The sequence below is a fragment of the Homo sapiens genome, chromosome 7 (assembly GCF_000001405.40).
Source record: "Homo sapiens chromosome 7, GRCh38.p14 Primary Assembly".
Classification (NCBI taxonomy): domain Eukaryota; kingdom Metazoa; phylum Chordata; class Mammalia; order Primates; family Hominidae; genus Homo; species Homo sapiens.
Genome location: NC_000007.14, coordinates 99,408,599 through 99,431,380, shown reverse-complemented (window position 1 = coordinate 99,431,380; position 22,782 = coordinate 99,408,599). Strand labels below are relative to the sequence as shown.

Genomic DNA, 22,782 nt, shown 5'->3' with positions numbered 1-22,782 from the left:
CAAAGTGGGCGGATCACGAGGTCAAGAGATTGAGACCATCCTGGCCAACATGGTGAAACCCTGTCTCTACTAAAAATACAAAATTTAGCTGGGCGTGGTGGCACGTACCTGTAGTCCCAGCTACTCAGGAGGCTGAGGCAAGGGAATCACTTGAACCCAGGAAGTGGAGGGAGGTCGTAGTGAGCCGAGATCACGCCACTGCACTCTAGCCTGGCGACAGAGTAAGACTCCATCTCAAAAAAAAAGAAAAAAAACTAATATTTTTATTGTTTTTATTTATTTTATTTTATTTATTTATTTTTTTGAGACGGGAGTTTTGGCTCTGTCACCCTGGCTGGAGTGCAGTGGTGCGACCTCGGCTCAATGCAACCTCCACCTCCCAGGTTCAAGCAATTCTCCTGCCTCAGCCTCCCGAGTAGCTGGGATTAAAGGCGCCCACCACCATGCCTGGCTAATTTTTTTGTGTTTTTTGTAGAAGACGGGGTTTCGCCATGTTGGCCAGGCTGGTCTCGAACTCCTGACCTCAGGTGATCTGCCCACCTCAGCCTTCCAAAGTGCTGGGATTATAGGCGTGAGCCACGGCACCCAGCCTTGTTACTGTTTTTGGTGACTCACCTGCAGTGTGTCTCCCTTCTTGAGTGTAAGCTCAGTAAGGATAGGCTGTGCCCGCTCTGCTAACCCCAGGGCTGCTGCTGGGCAGGTAGTGAGTTGTCAGTGCACCTCTGTGGAGTGCAGCAATACACGCAGAGCTTACATCATCCTCAAAGTAGGGACTGCCCTCTTTGCTTTTCAGATAAGGAAACTGAGGCACAGAGAGATGAAGGGACATGTCCAAGGCCACCCCACTTGAATGCACCGGGGCTGGGATTTGAGCCCCAGATGGCCTGACTCTAGCAGGGTTCTTTCTGCCGCTGAGCTGCCTATCGCCTGCCTTTGTCCAGATGGCCCTTCTCTGGCCAATAGCGAGTGCTAGGCTTCACCACGGATTGTCAACCCTGAGCACATGCCTTAGTCCCCTGGAGGCTCAGTAAGCTGAGTGTCACTCAGCTCCGGGGCTTGTGACTTACCAGATCAGGTGGCCCTGAGAATGTGCATTGTGCCACTGGTTCGGGGCCACCCCTAGAGCACTGCAGTGCATCCTCCCACTTGCCACAGGCATGCCTGGTTTCAAGGTGATGGTGTCATCCCCATTTTCGCGAGGAAGTGCTAACTTGCCCGGGAGCCCTCAGGTAGTAAGCACTACAGGCCCTTTCCCCTTGACGGGGTGGCCTGAAGGTGGGGACATCAGGAAGACCTTGCTGCCAGGACCCCAGGCCTGGAGTGGGCTGACAAGTGCCCAGGGCAGGGTAGCTCCTGTTTGGTACATCTGGGTGTGTGGGCTCAGTTTTCAGAGTCCCTTCAATGTGTCTGAGTTTGGAGAGCTGGGCTCTGATGTGTCCATGGCTCTGCCTTAGAGCCTGGCCTGGTGGATGCAGTGACGGGGTCCTCTCCAGCCTCAGCCTCCTCTGGGGCAGCTGCTCACCTGTGCGTCCAGCTGATCCCGGGCCACCACTGAGCTTCTTCCATCTCCACAGATGAAAAAGCGGGACCTGGAGCCCTCGGACGCCACCTACACGGCCCTGTTCAACGTCTGTGCCGAGTCCCCCTGGAAGGACTCAGCTCTACAGAGCGCCCTGAAGCTCCGGCAGCAGCTGCAGGCCAAAAACTTCGAGCTCAACTTGAAAACATACCACGCGCTGCTGAAGATGGCTGCCAAGTGCGCAGACCTTAGGATGTGCCTCGATGTGTTCAAGGTGGGGCTTCCCCTGCCGTCCTGCTCCCCTTCATGGGGCTGGTCCCACGTGTCAGGGGCAGGGCTGTGGTGTCTGTCTCTCCTCATGTAGGAAGGCTTAGGGAGGATGAGACAGCCGGTATTGGGCCCTGGGGTTCACAGATGGATCTGATGAGACCTTACTGGAGATTGTGTATGCCACCGTGTGCTGTGTCCTGCTTTGTGCACTCGAGGGAAGGCTTCCTAGAGACAGGGTCTTGCTATGTTGCCCAGGCTGGTCACAAAACTCCTGGCCTCAAGTGATCATCCTGCCTTGGCCTCCCAATGTGCCAGGATTACAGACATGAGCTACCATGCCCAGCCTGCTGCAGGTTCTCAGTGGGACGTCTTTGTTCCCTCCCCCAGGAAATCATCCACAAAGGGCACGTGGTCACAGAGGAGACCTTCAGTTTCCTGCTCATGGGCTGCATCCAAGACAAGAAGACAGGCTTCCGGTACGCCCTCCAGGTATGTCCCTCCCACCCCACCTTCCTGCCCTGCTTCCCCGGTGCCAGAGGTGCAAAATGGTGATCCTGTGAGCACCCACGATGGCCCTGTGCTGAGTATTTTTATATCTGTGCTCTTTTCTGAAAACCCAGCAGCCACTGTAGCCTCCATTCTACAGATGGCAGGGAGAGGAGGCCCTTGGAGATGGAATGAGGGTGGCCCCCGCCCCTCCCACCCTGCTTTGCAGTCGGCTTAGCCCCTCTAAACTCACCTTCCTTGAAAGCCTGCCACACACTCACCTGGGGACTTGTTCAACCCTCCCACACCCCCATTAGCACTTCTGCAGGTGCAACCCAGGAGTCATTCATTCATTCATTCATTCATTTATTTTGAGATGGAGTCTCACTCTTGCCCAGGCTGGAGTGAGCGATCTTGGCTCACTGCAACCTCCGCCTCCCAGGTTCACGCGATACTCCTGCCTCAGCCTCCCGAGTAGTTGAGATTACAGGCGCCCGCCACCACGCCCAGCTAATTTTGTATTTTTAGTAGAGACGGGGTTTCACCATGTTGACCAGGCTGGTCTTGAACTCCTGGCCTCATGTGATCTGCCCGCCTGGGCCTCCCAAAGTGCTGGGATTACAGGTGTGAACCACAGCTCCCCGCTGGAGAGCTTTTTTTTTCTTTTTCTTTTTAATGTTTTTAATTTTTTTTTTTTTTTTTTGAGATGGAGTCTTGCTCTGTCGCCCAGGCTGGAGTACAGTGGCATGATCTCGGCTCACTGCAAGCTCCACCTCCTGGGTTCACACCATTCTCCCGTCTCAGCCTCCTGAGTAGCTGGGACTATAGGCGCCCACCACCATGCCCAGCTAATTTTGTTTTTGTATTTTTAGTAGAGACAGAGTTTCACCATGTTAGCCTGGATGGTCTCGCTCTCCTACCTCGTGATCCGGCGCCTTGCTCTCCCAAAATGCTAGTATTACAGGCGTGAGCCACCGCGCCCGGCCAATTTTTTTTTTTTTTTTATTGATCATTCTTGGGTGTTTCTTGCAGAGGGAGATTTGGCAGGGTCATAGGACAATAGTGGAGGGAAGGTCAGCAGATAAACAAGTGAACAAAGGTCTCTGGTTTTCCTAGGCAGACGACCCTGCGGCCTTCTGCAGTGTTTGTGCCCCTGGGTACTTGAGATTAGGGAGTGGTGATGACTCTTAAGGAGCATGCTGCCTTCAAGCATCTGTTTAACAAAGCACATCTTGCACCACCCTTAATCCATTTAACCCTGAGTGGACACAGCACATGTTTCAGAGAGCACAGGGTTGGGGGTAAGGTCACAGATCAACAGGATCCCAAGGCAGAAGAATTTTTCTTAGTACAGAACAAAATGAAAAGTCTCCCATGTCTACTTCTTTCTACACAGACACGGCAACCATCCGATTTCTCAATCTTTTCCCCACCTTTCCCCCCTTTCTATTCCACAAAACCGCCACTGTCATCATGGCCCGTTCTCAATGAGCCGCTGGGCACACCTCCCAGACGGGGTGGTGGCCGGGCAGAGGGGCTCCTCACTTCCCAGCAGGGGCGGCCGGGCAGAGGCGCCGCTCACCTCCCGGACGGGGCGGCTGGCTGGGCGGGGGGCTGACCCCCCCCACCTCCCTCCCGGACGGGGCGGCTGGCCTGGCAGAGGGGCTCCTCACTTCCCAGTAGGGGCGGCCGGGCAGAGGCGCCCCTCACCTCCCGGACGGGGCGGCTGGCCGGGCGGGGGGCTGACCCCCCACCTCCCTCCCGGACGGGGCGGCTGGCCGGGCGGGGGGCTGACCCCCCCACCTCCCTCCTGGACGGGGTGCTAGCCGGGCAGAGGGGCTCCTCACTTCCCAGTAGGGGCAGCCGGGCAGAGGTGCCCCTCACCTCCCGGACGGGGCGGCTGGCCGGGCAGGGGGCTGACCACCCCCACCTCCCTCCCGGACGGGGCGGCTGGCCGGGTGGGGGGCTGACCCCCACCTCCCTCCCGGACGGGGCGGCTGGCCTGGCGGGGGCTGACCCCCACCTCCCTCCCGGACGGGGTGGCTGCCGGGCGGAGACGCTCCTCACTTCCCAGACAGGGTGACTCCCGGGCGGAGGGGCTCCTCACTTCTCAGACGGGGCGGCTGCCAGGCGGAGGGGCTCCTCACTTCTCAGATGGGGCGGTTGCCAGGCAGAGGGTCTCCTCATTTCTCAGACGGGGCGGCCGGGCAGAGACGCTCCTCACCTCCCAGACGGGGTCGCGGCCGGGCAGAGGCGCTCCTCACATCCCAGACGGGGCGGCGGGGCAGAGGCGCTCCCCACATCTCAGACGATGGGCGGCCGGGCAGAGATGCTCCTCACTTCCTAGATGGGATGGCGGCCGGGAAGAGGCGCTCCTCACTTCCTAGATGGGATGGCGGCTGGGCAGAGACGCTCCTCACTTTCCAGACTGGGCAGCCAGGCAGAGGGGCTCCTCACATCCCAGACGATGGGCGGCCAGGCAGAGACGCTCCTCACTTCCCAGACGGGGTGGCGGCCGTCTTGGCACTTTGGGAGGCCAAGGCAGGCGGCTGGGAGGTGGAGGTTGTAGCGAGCCGAGATCACGCCACTGCACTCCAGCCTGGGCACCATTGAGCACTGAGTGAACGAGACTCCGTCTGCAATCCCGGCACCTCGGGAGGCCGAGGTTGGTGGATCACTCGCGGTTAGGAGCTGGAGACCAGCCTGGCCAACACAGCGAAACCCCGTCTCCACCAAAATAATACAAAAACCAGTCAGGCGTGGTGGCGCGCGCCTGCAATCGCAGGTACTCGGCAGGCTGAGGCAGGAGAATCAGGCAGGGAGGTTGCAGTGAGCCGAGATGGCAGCAGTTACAGTCCAGCTTCAGCTGGGCATCAGAGGGAGACTGTGGAAAGAGGGAGAGGGAGACCGTGGGGAGAGGGAGAGGGAGACCGTGGGGAGAGGGAGAGGGAGAGGGAGAGGGAGACCATGGGGAGAGGGAGGGGGAGAGGGAGAGGGAGAGGGAGAGGCCCGGCCAATTTTTTAAATGTTTTACAGTTGTTTTGAGACACTCTCGCTCTGTCACCCAGGCTGGAGTGCTGTGGCATGATCACGGCTCACTGCAACCTCGATCTCTGGGTTCAAGTGATTCTCCCACTTCAGCCTCCTGAGTAGCTGGGACTGTGGGCATGCAATACCACACCCAATAATTTTTGTATTTTTAGTAGAGATGGGGTTTCACCATGTTGGTCGGGCTGGTCTCGAACTCCTGATCTCAAGGAGTCTGCCTGCCTTAGCTTCCTAAAGTGTTGGGATTACAGGCGTGAGCCACCGCGCCTGGCGTATTTTTTTGAGGCAGGGTCTTGCTATGTTGCCCGGTCTTGTCTCGAACTCCTGATCTCAAGGGATCCTCCCATCTAAAACTCCCAAGGTGCTGGGATTCCAGGCGTGAGCCCTGCGCCCAGCTGCTGAATGGGAGCACCCAGCTGACGTTTGTCTCTTCCGTGGCAGGTGTGGCGGCTGATGCTGAGTCTAGGGCTACAGCCGAGCCGGGACAGCTACAACCTGCTGTTGGTGGCAGCTCGGGACTGTGGCCTAGGGGACCCCCAGGTGGCCTCAGAGCTGCTTCTGAAGCCCAGGGAGGAGGCGACTGTGCTTCAGCCCCCAGTGAGCAGGCAGCGGCCAAGGAGGACAGCCCAGGCCAAGGCAGGCAACCTCATGTCAGCCATGCTGCATGTGGAGGCCCTGGAGAGGCAGCTGTTTCTGGAACCTTCTCAGGCACTTGGGCCTCCAGAGCCTCCGGAAGCCAGAGTGCCCGGCAAGGCCCAACCAGAGGTGGATACTAAGGCAGAGCCCAGCCACACAGCAGCCCTCACCGCAGTGGCCCTGAAGCCACCTCCCGTGGAGCTGGAAGTCAACCTCCTGACCCCCGGGGCCGTTCCCCCTACAGTGGTCTCCTTTGGAACGGTGACCACCCCAGCTGACCGGCTGGCCTTGATAGGGGGCCTGGAGGGCTTCCTGAGCAAGATGGCAGAGCACAGGCAGCAGCCCGACATCAGGACCCTCACGCTACTGGCCGAGGTGGTGGAGTCCGGGAGTCCTGCAGAGTCCTTGCTGCTGGCCCTCCTGGATGAGCACCAGGTAGAGGCCGACCTGACATTCTTTAACACGCTGGTGAGAAAGAAGAGCAAGCTGGGAGACCTGGAGGGGGCCAAGGCGCTGTTGCCGGTCCTGGCAAAGAGGGGCCTCGTCCCCAACCTGCAGACATTCTGCAACCTGGCCATCGGGTGCCACAGGCCGAAGGACGGTCTACAGCTTCTCACAGACATGAAGGTGAGTGGACTCGGGCCTGGGCAGGACACCCATGGTGCTCAGGAGCACTCTGCAGCTCAGGAGGAAAGTTTGAGGGGTCTGCAGACCCCCCACCTGGAGAGGATGAACTGTGCATGGGGCAAAGAGAGTGGGGTCAATGACCTTCTGGTCTTTGGTCCCATTTTGGGGGAAGCAGACCCCAGTGAGTGCTTCAGGGCTGGGCGTAGAGACACACGGATGTTCCCATCCGGAAGAAGGTGGCCGTGGGTTGACACAGGGCTGGGCACAGGCCTCGGCCCCAACACTCTAGAGGTATGGCAGGGATTCTCAGAATTCCTGAGGGGCCGTGGGCAGTTTTCAAAGCCCCCGAGGTCTGTGCCTCCCACCTAACCCCCATTGGAAGTGCTGCGTGGATTTCATCCGACCACAGCAGAGGCTGCGTCCTGGGTTGTCGGTGTCCCCAGGTCCATCATCCTCTGGCTGTTTTCCTGGACCCTACCGGGCTCACCCAGCCAAGGCTTGCACTTTTCTAGGCCAACCACCACCTGGTGACCGTGCGTCACAGGAAGCCCACCCCAGGGAGCAAGGAGGTGGTGTCTCCCACATCATTTTCTGCCTGAGTCAGTCGGTGTCTGAGAGCAGCACGAGCGTCCTTTTCCGCAGCTTCTTTAGGGCTGAGCAGAGGGGCTGGGCTTGGCTTTCCTGCTGGAGAGGGATATTCAGCACATTGTTGCTGCCAAGTTTGCCTTGCTGGCCCTGGCCGCTGGTCCCGGGAGCCAGCTTGATTGACAGAGGGTGGGAGCTGCTGGGTCCCAATGGCTGCCATCATCTTGATTCTACGATGTCCCTGTGTTCTAGAAGTCCCAGGTGACCCCCAACACTCACATCTACAGTGCCCTCATCAACGCGGCCATCAGGAAGCTGAACTACACCTATCTCATCAGCATCTTGAAGGACATGAAGCAGAACAGGGTCCCGGTGAACGAAGTGGTCATCCGCCAGCTGGAGTTTGCAGCCCAGTACCCTCCCACCTTTGACCGGGTGTGTGCCCCAAGCTCAAAAGCTCATCAGCTCCTTCACCATTGCTACCCCCTCCCCCCACCACCCAACCCCGGTTCTGGCCCTTGGGATTGTGTTGCCATGCTTGAAACTGTCCAGCAGCTTCCCTTAGGAGCAGTACCCAAGTCTGTAGACCACAGCCTGCGAGTCCCTGTCTGCGTGGCTCATCTCATGTCTCAGCCTTGCGTTTGCTTTCTCTGTCTGTCCCAGTGGCCTTCTGTCAGTTCGCAGAGGCCACCAACCTCTTGCCTGCTTCGGGATTGGTGTTCCCGCTGCCTCAGGTGGCACCCACTTTTCCTGGAGGTCTCTGCTTAAGTGGCCCTCAGACATGCCCAGCTGGCTGCCGCTCTGACCTGGGATGAAAGTCTCCCCTCCCCCTTCCCACTCTGTTCCTTTATGCCGTGTCCTACAGTCTTGGATCATGTGCTCATGGGCAGCCCTGGCCTTCCCTGTATCAGGCTTCTGGAGGCAGAGGCTGTCTGCTGTGCTCATCTGGGTCCCCAGCACCTGCACGTTGCTGGGTACTCCAAACAGGTTGTCGCTTGCTCAGGGACTGGGCAGGCAGTGAAGTGGTGTCATTGTCTGGGGTGAATACCTGAGATTTGTTGTGAGCCAAGATCGCGCCACTGCACTCCAGCCTGGGCGATAGATGGAGACTTGGTCTCAAAAAAAAAAAAAAGAGGTTAAGAGCTGAAGTTTAATAGGCGAAAGAAAGAAGAGCTCTCGCCCGGTGTGGTGGTGAAAAAAAAAAAAAGAGAAGAGCTCTCTCCTTGCAGAGAGAGGTGCCAGAGAAGTGGGTTGCCACTTCCATAGTGTAATGCAGAGGTTTTGTAGATGAGCTTGGGGAGGTGGTGTCTGATTTACAGAGGACGCAAAAGATTAGTTGGACCAGGTGTGCCATTTACATAGCATGTATAAAAGCTGGTGCCCCACCCTAACCTTTTATTATGCAGACAGGTGGCCATCGCCATGTTGCCTGGTTCTTTACTGTACACATGGCAACAAAGAAGGGAAGATGGGGCCCCCACGTTGAACATATCTGGCTCCCAGGTAGCCCTTTTCTGTTGGCACAGCCGCCAGCATTTACCCCTGCAAGCTTCCAGTTTGCTTATCTATGTCTGCAGCTCGATTTTTCAGGCTGCTCTTTGTTAGAAAAGAAATTATTTGGGGGCTGCTTTTTATTAAAAGGGAAATTTCGCCAAGGACTCTGTTGCCCTTATTATCTGCCTAAATAATTTCTTTCAACCTCCTGTATCAGCAGGAGCAGGGCAGAGTCATGGAATCTGCTTTGTCACGGCCACAGCCTCTCCCTGCTGTTCTGAGGCTATCAGGCTCTGGGGTTTGGCTTTTGGGTCCATCGAATCACACTCTGTGCTGAGCATCTCCGGAGCATCGAGAGCCACTATGGCTTGAAGCACAGCCCGGATGGGGCGGAAACAAGTAAATGGGCAGGGACACACACAGCTAGAGGGTGCGGGGTCAGGAACGCCGTGCAGGTGTCACGCCTGAATGCCATTTTGAGGGCTTCCTACAAATAGGTGGGACAGCAATGGAAATTGTGTCTGGCTGAAGGCATAGCTGGGCATTTTTGAACTGTGTCTGTGCTTTGAACTGTTGGTTGCAAGCCTTTTCTCATTGATTCCAGGGTTTTTTATATATTCTGGGTACTGGTTTTTTGTTGATCACATGTTGTGCATATCTTCCTAGTGGATTGTCTCTTCCCTCTGGCGTAGGGCTCACTAGGGGTTCAACTCGACAGTCACAAGACTATCATAGACCTAAAGCATATCATATTTAAGTCACAGACAGATGTCCCTGACTTAAAGATGATTCTACACAGGATTTTTCAACTTTGCAATGGTTTTATCAGGATGTAACTCTGTAAGGATCGACTTTGTGCGGGGTTAGTTTCTACTGAATGTATATCACTTTTGCATAATTATAAAGTCAGGACCCTCTGCTGTGTTGCCAGCAATAGATGCATTTTCCTTTTGTTTTTTATGAGATGGAGTCTCACTCTGTCACCCAGGCTGGAGTGCAGTGATGCGATCTGGCCTCACTGCAACCTCTGCCGCCCAGGTTCAAGTGATTTTCCTGCCTCAGCCTCCCGAGTTGCTGGGATTACAGGAGCCTGCCACCACACCAGGCTAATTTTTGTGGTTTTTTTTTTTTTTTTAGTAGAGACGGGGTTTCACCATCTTGGCCAGGCTGGTCTTGAACTCCCGACCTCGTGATCCACCCACCCCAGCCTCCCAAAGTGCTGGGATTATAGTTGTGAGCCCCCATGCCGTGCCGCATTTTCTTTTTTCTTTTTTTTTTTTTTTTTTAAAGAGACGGGAATCACTCTGTTGCCCAGGCTGGAGTGCAGTGGCACGATTATGGCTCACTGTAGCCTTGACCTCCCAGGCTTAAGAAGTCCTCCCACCTTAGCCACCTGAGGAGCTGGGACTACAGGCATGTACCACTGTACCCAGCTAATCTTTTAGATAGGGTTTCACTATATTGCCCAAACTGGTCTGGAACTCCTGAGCTCATGTAATCCGCCTGCCTCGGCTTCCCAAAGCACTGGGATTATAGGAGTGAGCCAGCACACACAGCCAGATTGATTTTTGATTTACGATGGGTTTTTGGGGGGCGGAACCCTGCTGTCAGGAGCATCTGTACTCATATTCCCTCATGATGGTGGACTTGTTTATATTCGTGATTCTGTTGAGTTTTGCTTTCTGTGCTTTCAGGCTCTATCCGGCACCTTAAGGTTTAGAATTGTCCAGTCTTTTGAGTCAAACCTTTTTTTGTTTTTGTTTTTTTTTGAGATGGAGTCTTGCTCTGTCGCCCAGGCTGGAGTGCAATGGCGTGATCTCAGCTCACTGCAACCTCTGCCTCCCGGGTTCAAGCCATTCTCCTGCCTTAACCTCCCAGGTAGCTGGGGCTACAGGCATGCACCGCCACATCCAGTATTTTTAGTAGAGATGGAGTTTCACCATGCTGGCCAGGCTGGTCTCGAACTCCTGACCTCAAGTGATCTGCCCACCTCGGCCTCTCAAAGTGCTGGGATTACAGACGTGAGCCACCGCACCCGGCCAAACCTTTTGTCATTGTGTGGTAGTAGCTGTATGTTGGATAGCACTTTTTGGCTTTTTTGGTATATTCCCCTACCAGCTCTCAGTTTGTGTCTGGTGTGTCTTTGCTTTTTTCCCCATATCTCATGGAGCCTATCTTGGCAGTGTTGAGATAATGGTCAGAGGGAGGTGGCTTTGATGGGGAGGGGCTCGGCAGGCTGTGGAGGCAGAGCTGGTGGGACCCAGTGATTCTGGCTTGGGGGCCTGGGGTGGCAACTGCGGATGGAGGAGCACAGTGGTGCCTATTTGGGAAGAACGCCATTGGGCAGATGGCTCTGGGCCTGCCCCAGGGTACCCAGCGGGGACCTGTTTCTCTGAAGTAAGCTAGTCCCATAGTGCGTGTTCACAGCTTTTCTGCCCTGTCCTCTGCAGCCACCTGGAAGGGAAAATGGCAGCCACCAGCTTCCCTGAGGCCTGAGCCAGCTGCCGAGGTTTGGGATTAGCTGTAGGTAACAGGAGTGATTCTAGCCTCACTTTTCTAATTCTAGTACCAAGGGAAGAACACCTACCTGGAGAAGATTGACGGCTTCCGAGCCTATTACAAGCAGTGGCTGACAGTGATGCCCGCAGAGGAAACCCCGCACCCCTGGCAGAAGTTCCGGACCAAGCCCCAGGGGGACCAGGACACCGGCAAGGAGGCTGATGACGGATGTGCCCTTGGGGGCAGGTGATGGGAGCACAGCTGGAACAATGTGCTCGGCCCCCAGTGCTCTGTGGGAGCCCCAGGACAAGTGAGCTGGTGTCACCTCCTGCCTGGGGGAAGAGCCAGGCCCTGAGGAACAGCCGCAGCGTGTCACAGGTGTTGGTGAGGACACACACTAGGCCCAAGGTGCCTGTGCTCCCAGCAGGTCCAAGTGCAGCTCCAGCCACCTTTGCGTGTCACCTTCACGGGACTTCCAGCTCCAGCTACCTTTGTGTGTCACCTCACACACCACAAGGGGGCTGGGGCATCTGGTCCCTGGGGCCTGGGCCGCCCCGCCGGGTTCCATAGGCCGATGCTCTGAAAGAAGAGACGTGGGGCTCGAGAGATTTAAAGATTTTATTTTTACAAATCACAGCTGATAGACAGCGAAGCCTTCCCCATAGAGACCGTGCTCCAACTCGGGCCTGGGGCACTGCTCGCTGCTCCCAGGAAGGGGGTGGCGTGACAGGCAGGAACCTGCGAAGTCCAGAGTCCAGGGTGGAGCGCGCCAGCCTCAGCCAGAGCAGCCACGACAGCCACAGTGTGTGCACTCGATGATGCGGCCCTGCAACGGAGGAGGACAGTGAGACGATGCCACTGCGCCACGCTCGCCCCTGCACACTCACATATGTGGCAACCCTCCCACGAAGGACCTGCCACCATGCCATATAGGGACACACCTCAGAAACCCTTCCTTGACAGCTCTGGACAGGGAAAATTTGGCTCCCTCATGAAGGTAGAACCAGCTGCTGTTGACACCGAGGTTACATCTGTATGTCTATTTATAATATGTTCTGCAAATCCAACACACGTTTGCCAATCAAGAAAAAGAAATCGGTGTGAATGAGTCTCGTTATTCTGCTAAGTGAGCATGACAGACCCTGCGATGAGCAGACGTGGCTCTGCTACTGTTTGGGGACTTCAGGGGGGCCTCTGGGCTGGTACACTCTGGTGGGGGAAGAGGGCAGGAGACTATGCACTTGAGTCACACCCTTCTGGCCCAGAGCCCCCCAGAAAGAAGGGTCTTGTCCCCCAGGCCTGGTGCGGCCCAACACTTGGCCAGCCAGAAAGCCCTAGAACAGTGGCTTGTGTTTATTTTACTTTTTCAAGTTCTTTTTTTGGAAGAACAAGACCATAGTTTAAGTAAACAGGATCCTCTGGTGAAACCCAGGTAAGTCTACAGCGGGCTGTTTTGGCCACAGGGCTGAAGCAGCACCCCAGCCCACCAGCCCCTGACCTGGACTCCTTGTGGAATCTGGGCACTCAGAGGAAGGGGGCTTCTGCCACTCTGCCACCTGTCCCTGCCTCCATCAGAAAACCAACACCCCAGTCTTCCGTCGGGGAGGCGGCCCTTGCTCGCCCCCACTGCTCAGTACCCAAGTCCTCAGCATCCAGCCACAGCTCTCCATTGTCAGTCTCACTGCAGCATAAAGGGGACTCATGTGAAGAGGCCCCTGTGTGGAGCTGGGGAAAAGAAGGCCAGGCTGGCAGATGGGCGGTGGGGCCAACAACTGTGCTGAGGGGCTGCACTGAGCGGCCACTGCTGTGACTCTGCCTCGGGCCACAGCTGCCTTTCAGAGGGGCTTGGAACCGGATGGAGCTCAGCTCCTGTCCCTCAGCACCACTCCTGAGGCGCCTGGCCTAGGAGTGGTACTTGGAACAGAAAGTTCTGAAAGAAGAAACACAGTGGGCTGGGCGCAGTAGCTCATGCCTGTAATCCCGGCACTTTGGGAGGCTGAGGCGGGTGGATCACCTGAGGTCGGGAGTTCGAGACCAGCCTGAGCAACATTGAGAAACCCCGTCTCTACTAAAAATACAAAATTAGCCAGGCGTGGTGGTGCATGCCTGTAGTCCCAGCTACTCAGGAGGATGAGGCAGGAGAACCGCTTGAACCCGGGAGGTGGAGGTTGCAGTGAGCCAAGATGGCATCACTGCACTCCAGCCTGGGCGACAAAGCAAGACTCCGTCTTGGGGGGGCGGGAAAGATAGTGATGGTAATGTTAAAGTATCACTGTGAGGACTGAAAGGGACAGGAACTCACTGGTTGTCCTTCCCTGATGTCACCCTGCCACCACCTTGGGATTAGGGCTCCCCACCACCATTTCCTAAGTGAGGAAAGGGGTTCAGTAATTTGCCCAAAAGTGGAGTTGAGATTGACCCCAGACCTAACAAACACACAGCCACACGCTGCCTCACATGGATTCCTGAATACAGGGACCCACTCCCACGAGGGAGAGCCAGCAGGACATCCAGGGACAAAACGACATTCCAGCCCAACCAAATAACATAAGATCCCTTGCAGTCGACTAAGGCAGAATTTTGAGCTGAAAACAACACCAAGCTTGAGTGTCAGACATTACCACTTCCAGCTTGCTTTTGGGCACGCGGCAGATGCAGTTCGTCCCGAAGTTGGTGTCCCGTGTCTGAATGCACCGCAGGCAGCACAAGTTCTCATATCCTTGCTTTTTCCATTTTGCAATCAGGTTTTTGTCTGCATAGCCTTCTTTAATACAATATTCATAGAGTTCTGTCAAAAAGATGGGGAAAGAGCATCAGGCCATGGTCTAAAAACCTTCCCCACCCTTGATCAAAAAAAGCATTCAGGCCGGGTGCAGTGGCTCACACCTGTAATCCCAGCACTTTGGGAGGCCGAGGCAGGCGGATCACCTGAGGTCAGGAGTTCAGGACCAGCCCGGCCAACATGGTAAAACCCCGTCTCTACTAAAAATACAAAAATTACTCGGGCGTGGTAGCAGCTGTAATCCCAGCTACTTAGGAGGCTGAGGCAGGAGAATCACTTGAACCCAGGAGGCGGAGGTTGTAGTGACCTGAGGTCGTGCCACTGGACTCCAGCCTGGGTGACAGCGAAACTCCATCTCAAAAAAAAAAAGGCATTCAGTATTGCAACGGGACAGTCCTTGGAGGAGGAACAAAAAAAAAAAGTACTTAGGCCAGGCAAGGTGCCTCACACCTGTAATCCCAGCACTTTTGGAAGCCAACGCCAGAGGATCATTTGAGTTAAGAAACCAGCCTGGGCCAAGGGCCCATCTCCACAAAAAATTTAAAAATTAGCTGGGTGTGGTGGTGCACACCTGTAGTCACAGCTACTCAGGAGGTTGAGGTGAGAGGATCCCTTGAGCCCAGAAGGTTGAGGCTGCAGTGAGCCATCATTGCACCACTGCACTCCAGCCTGTGGAACAGAGCAAGACCCTGTTTCAAAAAAAAAAAAAAAAAAAAAGCCAAGAGCGGTGGACCACGCCTATAATTCCAGCACTTTGGGAGACCGAGTCGGGTGAATCACCTGAGGTCAGGAGTTCAAGATCAGCCTGACCAATATGGTGAAACCCCATCTTTACTAAAAATACAAAAATTGGCCAGGTGTGGTGGCAGGTGCCTGTAATCCCAGCTACTTGGGAGCTGAGACAGGAGAATCGCTTGAACCCAGGAAGTGGAGCTTGCAGTGAGCCAAGATTGCGCCACTGCACTCCAGCCTGGGTGACAGAGTGAGACTCCATCTCAAAACAAACAAACAAAAAACAAACACACACACAAAACTCAGCCAACGTTGGCTCCCCCTAATTTTCGTGGTAAGAAAAACCATGACTTGCACAGGTTGCGAGAATAAGGATTGTGGTTAGTTCAGTAACTCCAAAAGTGACGCGAGCTTCAAAGTCCAAGAGAGACTGACTAATTACCTCTGCTGATGGCTTTCCGCTTGTAAAAGAGGTCGAAGATGTAGCGGGTTTTCTGGTGGTGGATCCTGAAGATGGGCCACAGAGATTCCACTTTCCTCTTTCCCTCATGCGGTTCTGTTTCAGCTGGGGAGAAACAAAGAGTGTGTTTGGGGGAATAGGGTCGGTCTGCGCAGGATTTTCTTTTTGTAAGTAACTACTGATAATGAATAAATACCACTTTATACCCACTAGGATGGCTGTGGGTGGCAAGCCACCCAGGTGCCGAGGCAAGAAACCGAGGGCACGAGCTGTTCTAGTATAATAAAATAAATAAAATAAGAATAGTTATACTAGATATAGATCTTAGATATGATTATATATGAATATCATTAATCCTTAGTTTGTAGCAATTACTCTTTATTCCAATATTATAATAATCCTCACTCGACAATCATAACCTAGGAAACACCAGGCTATACAGAGATGGGAGCTGAGGGGACATAGTGAGAACTGACCAGAAAACGAGTGCAAGCCTTCTGTTATGCCCGGACAGGGCCACCAGAGGGCTCCTTGGTCTAGCGGTAACGCCAGCATCTGGGAAGATGCCCGTTGCCAAGCGGACCTTGGTCTAGCAGTAGCGTTAGTGTCAAGGAAAAACACCCGCTACTTAGCAGACCGGGAAAGGGAATCTCCCTTTCCCCGGGGGAGTTTAGAGAAGACTCTACTCCTCCACCTCTTGTGGAGGGCCTGACATCAGTCAGGCCCGCCCGCAGTTATCCAGAGGCCTAACTATCTCCCTGTGATGCTGTGCTTTGGTGGTCACGCTCCTAGTCCGCCTTCATGTTCCATCCTGTACACCTGGCTCTGCCTTTTAGATAACAATAGCAAATTAGTGAAAGTACTAAAAGTCTCTGATAAGCAGAAATAATGGCATAAGCTGTCTCTCTCTCTCTGCCTTGGTGCCAGGCAGGCAAGGGCCCGCTTTCCAGTGGACACGTGACCCATGTGGCCTTACCTATCATTGGAGATGGTTCACACTGCTTATCCTGCCCCTTTGTCTTGTATCCAATAAATATCAGTGCAGCCTGGCATTTGGGGCCACTACCGGTCTCCGCGTCTTGGTGGGATTCCCAGGCTCAGCTGTCTTTTATCTCTTTGTCTTGTGTCTTTATTTCTACGCTCTCTCGTCTCCACACACGGGGAGAAACCCACCGACCCTGTGGGGCTGGACCCTACAGATGACTATAATCAAAATTATGGCACAATAACAAGTGTTGGGAAGGATGTGGAGAAATTGGAACTCTCCTACGTTCCTGGTGGGAATGTAAAATGGTGGAGCCACTGCAGAAGAGTTAGGTGGCTCCTCAAGAAGTTAAACAGGGCTGGCCGGAATCGGTGGCTCACACCTGTAATCCCAGCACTTTGGGAGGCTGAGGTGGGCAGGTCACTTGAGGTCAGGAGTCTGAGACCAGCTTGGTCAACATGGTGAAACCCCATCTCTACTAAAAATACAAAAGAATTAGCAGGGCATGGTGGCGCATGCCTGTAATCCCACCTACTTGGGAGGCTGAGGTGGGAGAATCGTTTGAACCCAGAGGCGGAGGATGCAGTGAGCTGAGATCACACCACTGCACTCCAGCCTAGGCAACAAAGCAAGACTCCCGTCTCAAAAAAAGAAAAAAAAGGGAATGAAGTAAGTACTGATATATTCTACAACACAGATGAACCTTGAAACATCAAACTAACTGTGGCAATGGTCGTACAACTTTGTGAATATACTAAAAACCCCTTAATTGGATAATTTAACAGGTTCACTTTTACAGTATATGATTAATATCTCAATAAAGCTGTTATTTAAAAACAGAATAAGCCGCCGGGCATTTTGGGAGGCCAAGGTGGGCGGACCACGAGGTCAGGAGATCGAGATCAGCCTGACCAACGTGGTGAAACCCCATCACTACTAAAAATTAAAAAATTAGCCGGGCGTGGTAGTGCACGCTTGTAATCCCAGCTTCTCAAGAGGCTGAGGCAGGAGAATTGCCTGAACTCGGGAGGTACAGGTTGCAGTGAGCCAAGATCGCACCACTGCACTCCAGCGTGGGCAACAGTGTGAGATTCCGTCTCAAAAAAAAAAATAAAAAAATAAAAAATAAGCTAAGTAATTTAAACATAATTGTTTTAAATTAAAAATGTCTATTTTTGGATCCTTTTGTAATTCATGAGTGTGCTTGGGTGTTCACATCCATGTGTGAGACATGCCACTCTCAAACCTTGTCACAACGTTGGCACATTACCCATGTGACAAGAAAAAAAGTCTTTTTAATTACAGAATTAGAAAACATAGATTTTTAAAGACATTTAATGGTAACTTCTGTTAAAAGGTTGGTCCCGGCTGGGCACAGTGGCTCACGCCTGTAATCCCAGCACTTTTGGAGGCCGAGGTGGGTGGATCACTTGAGGTCAGGAGTTCGAGAACACCCTGGCCAACAGGGCAAAACACTGTCTCTACTGAAAATACAAAAATTATCTGGGCATGGTGGCACATGCCTGTAATCCCAGTTACTCGGGAGGCTGAGGCACGAGAAGTGCTTGAACCTGGGAAGCAGAGGTTGCAGTTAGCTGACATTGTGCCACTGCACTCCAGCCTGGATGACAGATGACCCTGTCTCAAAAAAAAACAAAACAAAACAAACAAAAAAAAGCCAAAAAACCAACCTTGGTCCCTATGCTTTCAGATCTATTTCTACAGCGTAATAATTAATCAAGATAATTCTAGGCCCACAGATGGGCATCCTAATCATCTTGAAGGCACTTCTAATTTCATCTCCCAGCCAAAGTCCTTTAGGGCTGAGGAAAAGCTAAATAAACTAGACCAGTCTACAGGTTCTGAGGGAAGTAGCCACAGCAGAAGCTGCTCCTTCAACACACGCAGGATCAGGTGGCACTCATACTTGCCGCAAGGCAGTTCTCTCTCTCTCAGCAGTCACAAGTTCATCTTTGTCTATGACCTCCTCAGTTTTTAGGGAAGAACAGAAGGGCGAAGAGTGGTCAAGAAGACTATCCCTCCCTGTCTCCAGCTTTTAAGCCATTCTATTACCTAGGAATTACAATTCAGCTCAACAAACAGAATGCTGTGATCCAAGCAGAAAAGCAGGTAGTAAAGATTCAGCAGGTACACATGTTAAGACGTGACTTGCTCCTCCTTGGCCTCTGCCATGATGGTGAGGCCTCTCCAACCACATGGAACGGTAAGTCCATTAGATCTCGTTCTTTCGTAAATTGCCCAGTCTCAGGTATGTCTATCAGTAGCGTGAAAATGGACTAACACACCCCCATCTCTACAAAAAATTAGCCAAGCGTTGGTCGGGCGCGGTGGCTCATGCTTGTAATCCTAGCACTTTGGGAGCCTGAGGCGGGTGGATCACAAGGTCAGGCGATCGAGACCATCCTGGCTAACATGGTGAAACCCCGTCTCTACTAAAAATACAAAAAAAAAAAAAAAATTAGCTGGGCATGGTGGCGGGCGCCTGTAGTCCCAGCTACTCCAGAGGCTGAGGCAGGAGAATGGTGTGGACCTGGGAGGCGGAGCTTGCAGTGAGCGGAGATCGCGCCACTGCACTCCAGCCTGGGTGACAGAGCGAGACTCCGTCTCAAAAAAAAAAAAAAGAAAAAAAAGAAAAGAAAACTTAGCCAAGCGTGGCAGTGGATGCCTGTAGTCCCAGCTGCCTGGGAGACTGAGGTGGGAGGAACACCTGAGCCTGGGAGGTGGAGGCTTCAGTGAGCTGTGATTGAACCACTGCACTCCAGCCTGGGCAACAAAGTGAGACCTTGTCTCAAAACAAAAACAAAAAGAAAACAGAACAAAGAATACTTCTGTCTGGAGGTAAAGAATATCTAAACACAAAGTAGGGTTCCTCCTTCCCTCAAAAGTCACCCTTTAGAAGATGAAGTTAATTTACTTTCAAGGACTTGCAAAATCTCTTCTATTCCAGCATGCTCCCATTTCCTTTATTTTGATAAAGAGCTGTTTCGGGAAGACATCTCTCAGCCCAAAATGACCGTGATTACTGCAATAGGCCCATCCAAATCTAAACTGCAAAACAAGTACTGAGTATTTAATAGAAGTTATCTGGTACGAACAGTTTTTTTAAAAAGGGGCAAAGTAATTTAACATTGATTTAATTTAGTAATTACTGCTGGAGGTACGACCTCATAATAACCATGATTAGGTTAGTTACAAGCAAGCATTTCAAAAGCTACTTTAAAAAGTAACTTCAGCTGGGTGTAGTGGCTCATACCTGTAATCCCATCACTTTGGGAGGCCGAGGTGGGTGGATCACTTGAGGCCAGGAGTTCGAGACCAGCCTGGCCAACATGGAGAAACCCATCTCTACTAAAAATACAAAAATTAGCCGGGCATGGTGGCGCATGCCTGTAATCCAAATTACTCGAGAGGCTGAGAGGCAGGAAAATCACTTGAACACGGGAGGCAGAGGTTGCAGTGAGCCGAGATCACGCCACTGCACTGCAGCCTGGAAGACAGAGCAAGACTCCAACTCAAAAAATAAAAATAAAAAAGTCAATTGGTAAGTGGCCACACTGTGATCATATAAGGCCAACAGATGCTTGTGGCTTCAGATAAAATTTCCAAAGACAGCATAGGACACGGGTTCACAAAGCAGGATCACACGCCATTTACAAGGAAGTGACAGAAAACAGATGCGGCAAAGACTAATCGATGATACTGAAAAGGAATAGCACTTCCAAGTAAATATATTTTGTATGATTTTAAATATATATCTAACCAAAATAGTAAATAACTATAGGTAGACTATTTGATCTATATTTCATAACCTTTTATATTCGAGTTGGCAAAAACAAAAACAAAAAAAAACACCTTTTCTGAGGACCTTTTCATTAATGTTATCTTATTTTCGGGCACTTACAGTATTTCCCCAAGTTCATAAGCAAACACAACATGTCAGTGTTAGTAGACCACTCTCTTTTTATATTTGCATTTATGCCTGTCCCCTGGGGGCATCTAAGCCTGTGACCCTTGGACCCAGCCCACCCAGACAGGAACTCCCCTACTCACCTTCTCTCATCTTTTGATCTAATTCATCCAGTGTTGGCTCAATCAACTCCCAGCCATCTGGGGGTGCTTTCCGGCTTCTTTTGACTTTAGGCATTTTCCTTCCACAGGATAATCTGCAAAGATCTGGGGGAAAAAAATGAATTGGTTTCTGAGTCTCAAATCCCCAAAGGCCTTTGCCAGCCATTATTTCGGTACAGGCTGACTTCCTTGAGTCAGCATAGGGTCACAGCTATGGGACAGGGCTCAGCACCCAGACTGTGTTCAAATCCTGGCTCTGCTACTTACCCGCTGTGATCTTCAGAAAGGTACTTAACCTTCCTAAGCCTCTGTTTCCTCATCTGTAAAATGGGGATAATGGAAGCTACCTTATGTGGTCATTGCAAAGACTTCATTAGAATTGTATCTATCATGCCTGGTGTATAATGTGTGCCTAAGAGACATTTGCTGTTGTCATTAGCTAACTTCAACTAAAAGCTTAACCCTATACTGGATGTTGGGAACACAGAACAAAAGTTAAGCCTTTGCCCCTTAGAAGGTGACATTTTAGCAAAGAGACAGACAAGAGAAAAAGCAATTACAATAGAGTATAAGGAGGGCTGTGACTCGGGGAGCCATGGGGGTGAGTATTTAAAAAGGCAAAGATGGAAGGTCAGGCACGGTGGCTCATGCCTGTAATTCTGGTCTTGGCCAGCACCTTGGGAGGCTGAGATGGGAGGATCACTTGAGCCCAGGAATTTGAGACCAGTCTGAGCAATGAGGTGAAACCCTATCTCTACCAAAAAAAAAAAAAAATCAAAAAAATTAACTGAGCATGGTGGTGGGTGCCTGTGGTCTGAGCTACACGGAAGGCTGAGGCAAGAGGATCACTTGAGCCCAGGAGGTTGAAAGTCTTCAGTTAGCCATGTTCACACTACTGCACTCCAGCCTAAGTGACGGAGTGAGACCATGTCTCAATAACAAACAAAACAAAACAAAACATAAAATAAAAAGGGAAAGATGACTGTAAAATCAAAGTACCTTAGGATGTGCTTTCCAAGAGTATAGACAGCAGAAAGATCTCTCGTCTCTGCAGTTGCAGGCTTGGATTCTTGTTCAGCTCTAAAAAATTATTCTGTGACTTTCAGGTCACCTTCCCTCTCTGGTCCTGTTTCTTCTGTAAAATGAGGGCAGTGGATTGGCTGATTGCCAAGGTCTCTTTCACACCAAACAACATATTACATAAAGTCAGGTAGTTCCCATACAAGAGGCCGATCCCAATCTAAATAGCAAAGCGTTTTTCAAACCACACAGCATTTCCTTGCTGCCAGAGAGAACCCAGGTTAAGTATTTACCTTTCAGCATAACAGATTCATCTCTCTCAAATTCATTCAGTCACTCCCTTCTGTACTGACACTTTACAAAGACCCACCCCCCCCCCGCCCACAGAGCCTCCTCTCATGAACTCTCTAAAACAACCATATAGAGGAGGAATCAAACTCTATAAGGTAGAATCAGGGTCACACAGCTGAGAATTTGCAAAACCTGACTCTGGAGGGCTCCTGACTCCCAAATCAGTGGTCTTCGCACTAGTCTCCCCTACGCTGAAGCTAAAAATAGGTGAATTCTGGTCTCGGCCCCAAGGCGCATAGTCTGTGACAAGAGAATGATCGCTTTTCTACGACCCAGGGAAATTCGAGGGCCCTGATCCAGCCTGGAAGTCAGAAGAGGCCTCTCGGAGGTGAAAATGGTAGGCGGTAACCAGATCGAGGAGAAAGAGGACGTAGGAGGTAATCAGATCGAGAAGAAAGATGTGCCGGGAGGTGTAAGAGAGATTGGGGCGCTAGGGGAAGGAGGCGAGGAGGAGCGAAGGAAGATAGTGCAGGATTGTAGGGAAAACTCATAAAAAGGACAGCATCTGAACCCAGCTTAGAAAAACAATCAGAACACAGAAGACGTTCCTACCAGAGGAAACGGCGCGAGAATCCTAGAGGAAAACCCCCAAATCTACCGTCCCCTCAGAAGAACGAACGTGGCGCCGCCTCCTCTCGGGAGCTCTCTCCGGCCTCAAGGTCCAAAGCCCGAACACATCCCAGTGGCTGGCTGAGAGTCCAGCCACTCATATCTCCCTCCAGGACGGTGCAGACCACCGGTCTCCCGCCTCAGCCGTTGCCAAGGTAATCGAGAACAGAGGGAAAACACATACCGGAAGCTCCTGGAGCTTGGGTAGCTGCTTCTCGACAGAAGGCTTCCGCTCTTCAGGCGATCTCTAAGGCATGAGGTCCTTGCGGAGCCCCGCCCTACCCGCGCGGAGATTGCGTCATCTTAGGTGTCCTCAGCAATGCCTGTATAGAATTCCAGAGCCGCTGTTGCCATTTGCCCTCACTTCCGGTGGGTGGCAGGCAGGGCCACGCGTCTTCCCGAACGGAGAGACTAGGGGCGTTGTTGCCTGGCAGCAGACGGGCAAGCCTGGACTTAGGCGGCGCGCAGGACGGTCCGACTTCGTGCGGAGGCCTCCCTGAGGTCCGGGTCCTTGCGGCCACTGCGGCCACTGAAGCGGCGGCGGCGGCTGGCCCAGGAGGAAGAAGTCGAGCCCAAGCTATTTCCGGTTC

General features: G+C 52.6%; 3 protein-coding genes, 1 long non-coding RNA gene and 2 other non-coding genes across 15 annotated transcripts in view, besides 4 other annotated features; 3 read left to right on the top strand and 3 right to left on the bottom strand.

Annotated features, from left to right (window-relative positions):
- The window catches only part of ATP5MF-PTCD1 (ATP5MF-PTCD1 readthrough), a 49,429-nt gene extending 34,787 nt beyond the window's left edge, over positions 1 to 14,642 (top strand). The window contains exons 5-9 of the mRNA NM_001198879.2: positions 1,575 to 1,793; positions 2,177 to 2,278; positions 5,765 to 6,586; positions 7,424 to 7,606; positions 11,232 to 14,642. Of these exons, the coding sequence (NP_001185808.1) occupies positions 1,575 to 1,793; positions 2,177 to 2,278; positions 5,765 to 6,586; positions 7,424 to 7,606; positions 11,232 to 11,414 (1,509 nt within the window). The 3' untranslated portion in view covers positions 11,415 to 14,642. The remainder of the gene's footprint in view (positions 1 to 1,574; positions 1,794 to 2,176; positions 2,279 to 5,764; positions 6,587 to 7,423; positions 7,607 to 11,231) is intronic.
- PTCD1 (pentatricopeptide repeat domain 1) overlaps positions 1 to 14,642 on the top strand; it is a 22,060-nt gene extending 7,418 nt beyond the window's left edge. The window contains exons 4-8 of the mRNA NM_015545.4: positions 1,575 to 1,793; positions 2,177 to 2,278; positions 5,765 to 6,586; positions 7,424 to 7,606; positions 11,232 to 14,642. Coding sequence (NP_056360.2) covers positions 1,575 to 1,793; positions 2,177 to 2,278; positions 5,765 to 6,586; positions 7,424 to 7,606; positions 11,232 to 11,414 — 1,509 coding nt within the window. The 3' untranslated portion in view covers positions 11,415 to 14,642. The remainder of the gene's footprint in view (positions 1 to 1,574; positions 1,794 to 2,176; positions 2,279 to 5,764; positions 6,587 to 7,423; positions 7,607 to 11,231) is intronic.
- Positions 931 to 1,527: an enhancer, noted in NCBI's record as "H3K27ac-H3K4me1 hESC enhancer chr7:99027477-99028073 (GRCh37/hg19 assembly coordinates)". NCBI's record gives its function as "activates a minimal SCP1, AML or CMV promoter by ChIP-STARR-seq in primed H9 embryonic stem cells {active_cell/tissue: H9 hESC(primed)}" and the evidence as "EXISTENCE:reporter gene assay evidence [ECO:0000049][PMID:30033119]".
- Positions 7,884 to 8,385: an enhancer, noted in NCBI's record as "H3K4me1 hESC enhancer chr7:99020619-99021120 (GRCh37/hg19 assembly coordinates)". NCBI's record gives its function as "activates a minimal SCP1, AML or CMV promoter by ChIP-STARR-seq in primed H9 embryonic stem cells {active_cell/tissue: H9 hESC(primed)}" and the evidence as "EXISTENCE:reporter gene assay evidence [ECO:0000049][PMID:30033119]".
- Positions 11,765 to 22,412, bottom strand: BUD31 (BUD31 spliceosome associated protein). Of its 10 annotated transcripts, none has more exons than NM_003910.4 (6): positions 22,136 to 22,412; positions 21,212 to 21,347; positions 20,195 to 20,317; positions 15,121 to 15,243; positions 13,786 to 13,952; positions 11,765 to 11,990 (listed from the first exon to the last, which is right to left on the bottom strand). In NM_003910.4, the coding sequence occupies exons 3-6, from the start codon at positions 20,286 to 20,288 to the stop codon at positions 11,940 to 11,942; spliced, it is 435 nt and encodes a 144-aa protein (NP_003901.2). In that variant the 5' UTR covers positions 20,289 to 20,317; positions 21,212 to 21,347; positions 22,136 to 22,412; the 3' UTR covers positions 11,765 to 11,939. The 10 variants fall into 10 exon arrangements, with proteins under 10 accessions (NP_003901.2, XP_047276962.1, XP_047276963.1 ...); XM_047421006.1 differs by having other exon boundaries at positions 21,212 to 21,344; XM_047421007.1 differs by having other exon boundaries at positions 11,765 to 12,219; positions 22,377 to 22,412.
- Positions 15,699 to 15,748: a silencer, noted in NCBI's record as "silent region_18409". NCBI's record gives its function as "represses an Ori minimal core promoter by ATAC-STARR-seq in GM12878 lymphoblastoid cells {active_cell/tissue: GM12878}" and the evidence as "EXISTENCE:reporter gene assay evidence [ECO:0000049][PMID:35858748]".
- On the top strand, positions 17,303 to 17,403 carry LOC124901841 (small nucleolar RNA U13). Its single transcript, XR_007060676.1, has one exon. It is a non-coding gene; the product is annotated as a small nucleolar RNA U13 (small nucleolar RNA).
- On the bottom strand, positions 19,086 to 19,436 carry LOC124901707 (uncharacterized). The gene is made up of 2 exons (XR_007060451.1): positions 19,398 to 19,436; positions 19,086 to 19,192 (listed from the first exon to the last, which is right to left on the bottom strand). It is a non-coding gene; the product is annotated as an uncharacterized LOC124901707 (long non-coding RNA).
- MIR12119 (microRNA 12119) lies at positions 22,117 to 22,209 on the bottom strand. The gene has a single exon (NR_162133.1). It is a non-coding gene; the product is annotated as a microRNA 12119 (primary transcript).
- Positions 22,356 to 22,745: an enhancer, noted in NCBI's record as "active region_26314". NCBI's record gives its function as "activates an Ori minimal core promoter by ATAC-STARR-seq in GM12878 lymphoblastoid cells {active_cell/tissue: GM12878}" and the evidence as "EXISTENCE:reporter gene assay evidence [ECO:0000049][PMID:35858748]".

What these genes read in the sequence shown, in the direction of transcription:
- BUD31 (XM_005250670.6), bottom strand. Translation starts at nt 20,288, where the DNA reads ATGCCTAAAGTCAAAAGAAGCCGGAAAGCACCCCCAGATGGCTGGGAG. An exon ending in AGATCAAAAGATGAGAGAAG is followed by an intron (nt 15,244 to 20,194) that starts GTGAGTAGGGGA and finishes GTTTCTCCCCAG; the next exon opens with CTGAAACAGAACCGCATGAG. An exon ending in GCGGAAAGCCATCAGCAGAG is followed by an intron (nt 13,953 to 15,120) that starts GTAATTAGTCAG and finishes TCTTTTTGACAG; the next exon opens with AACTCTATGAATATTGTATT.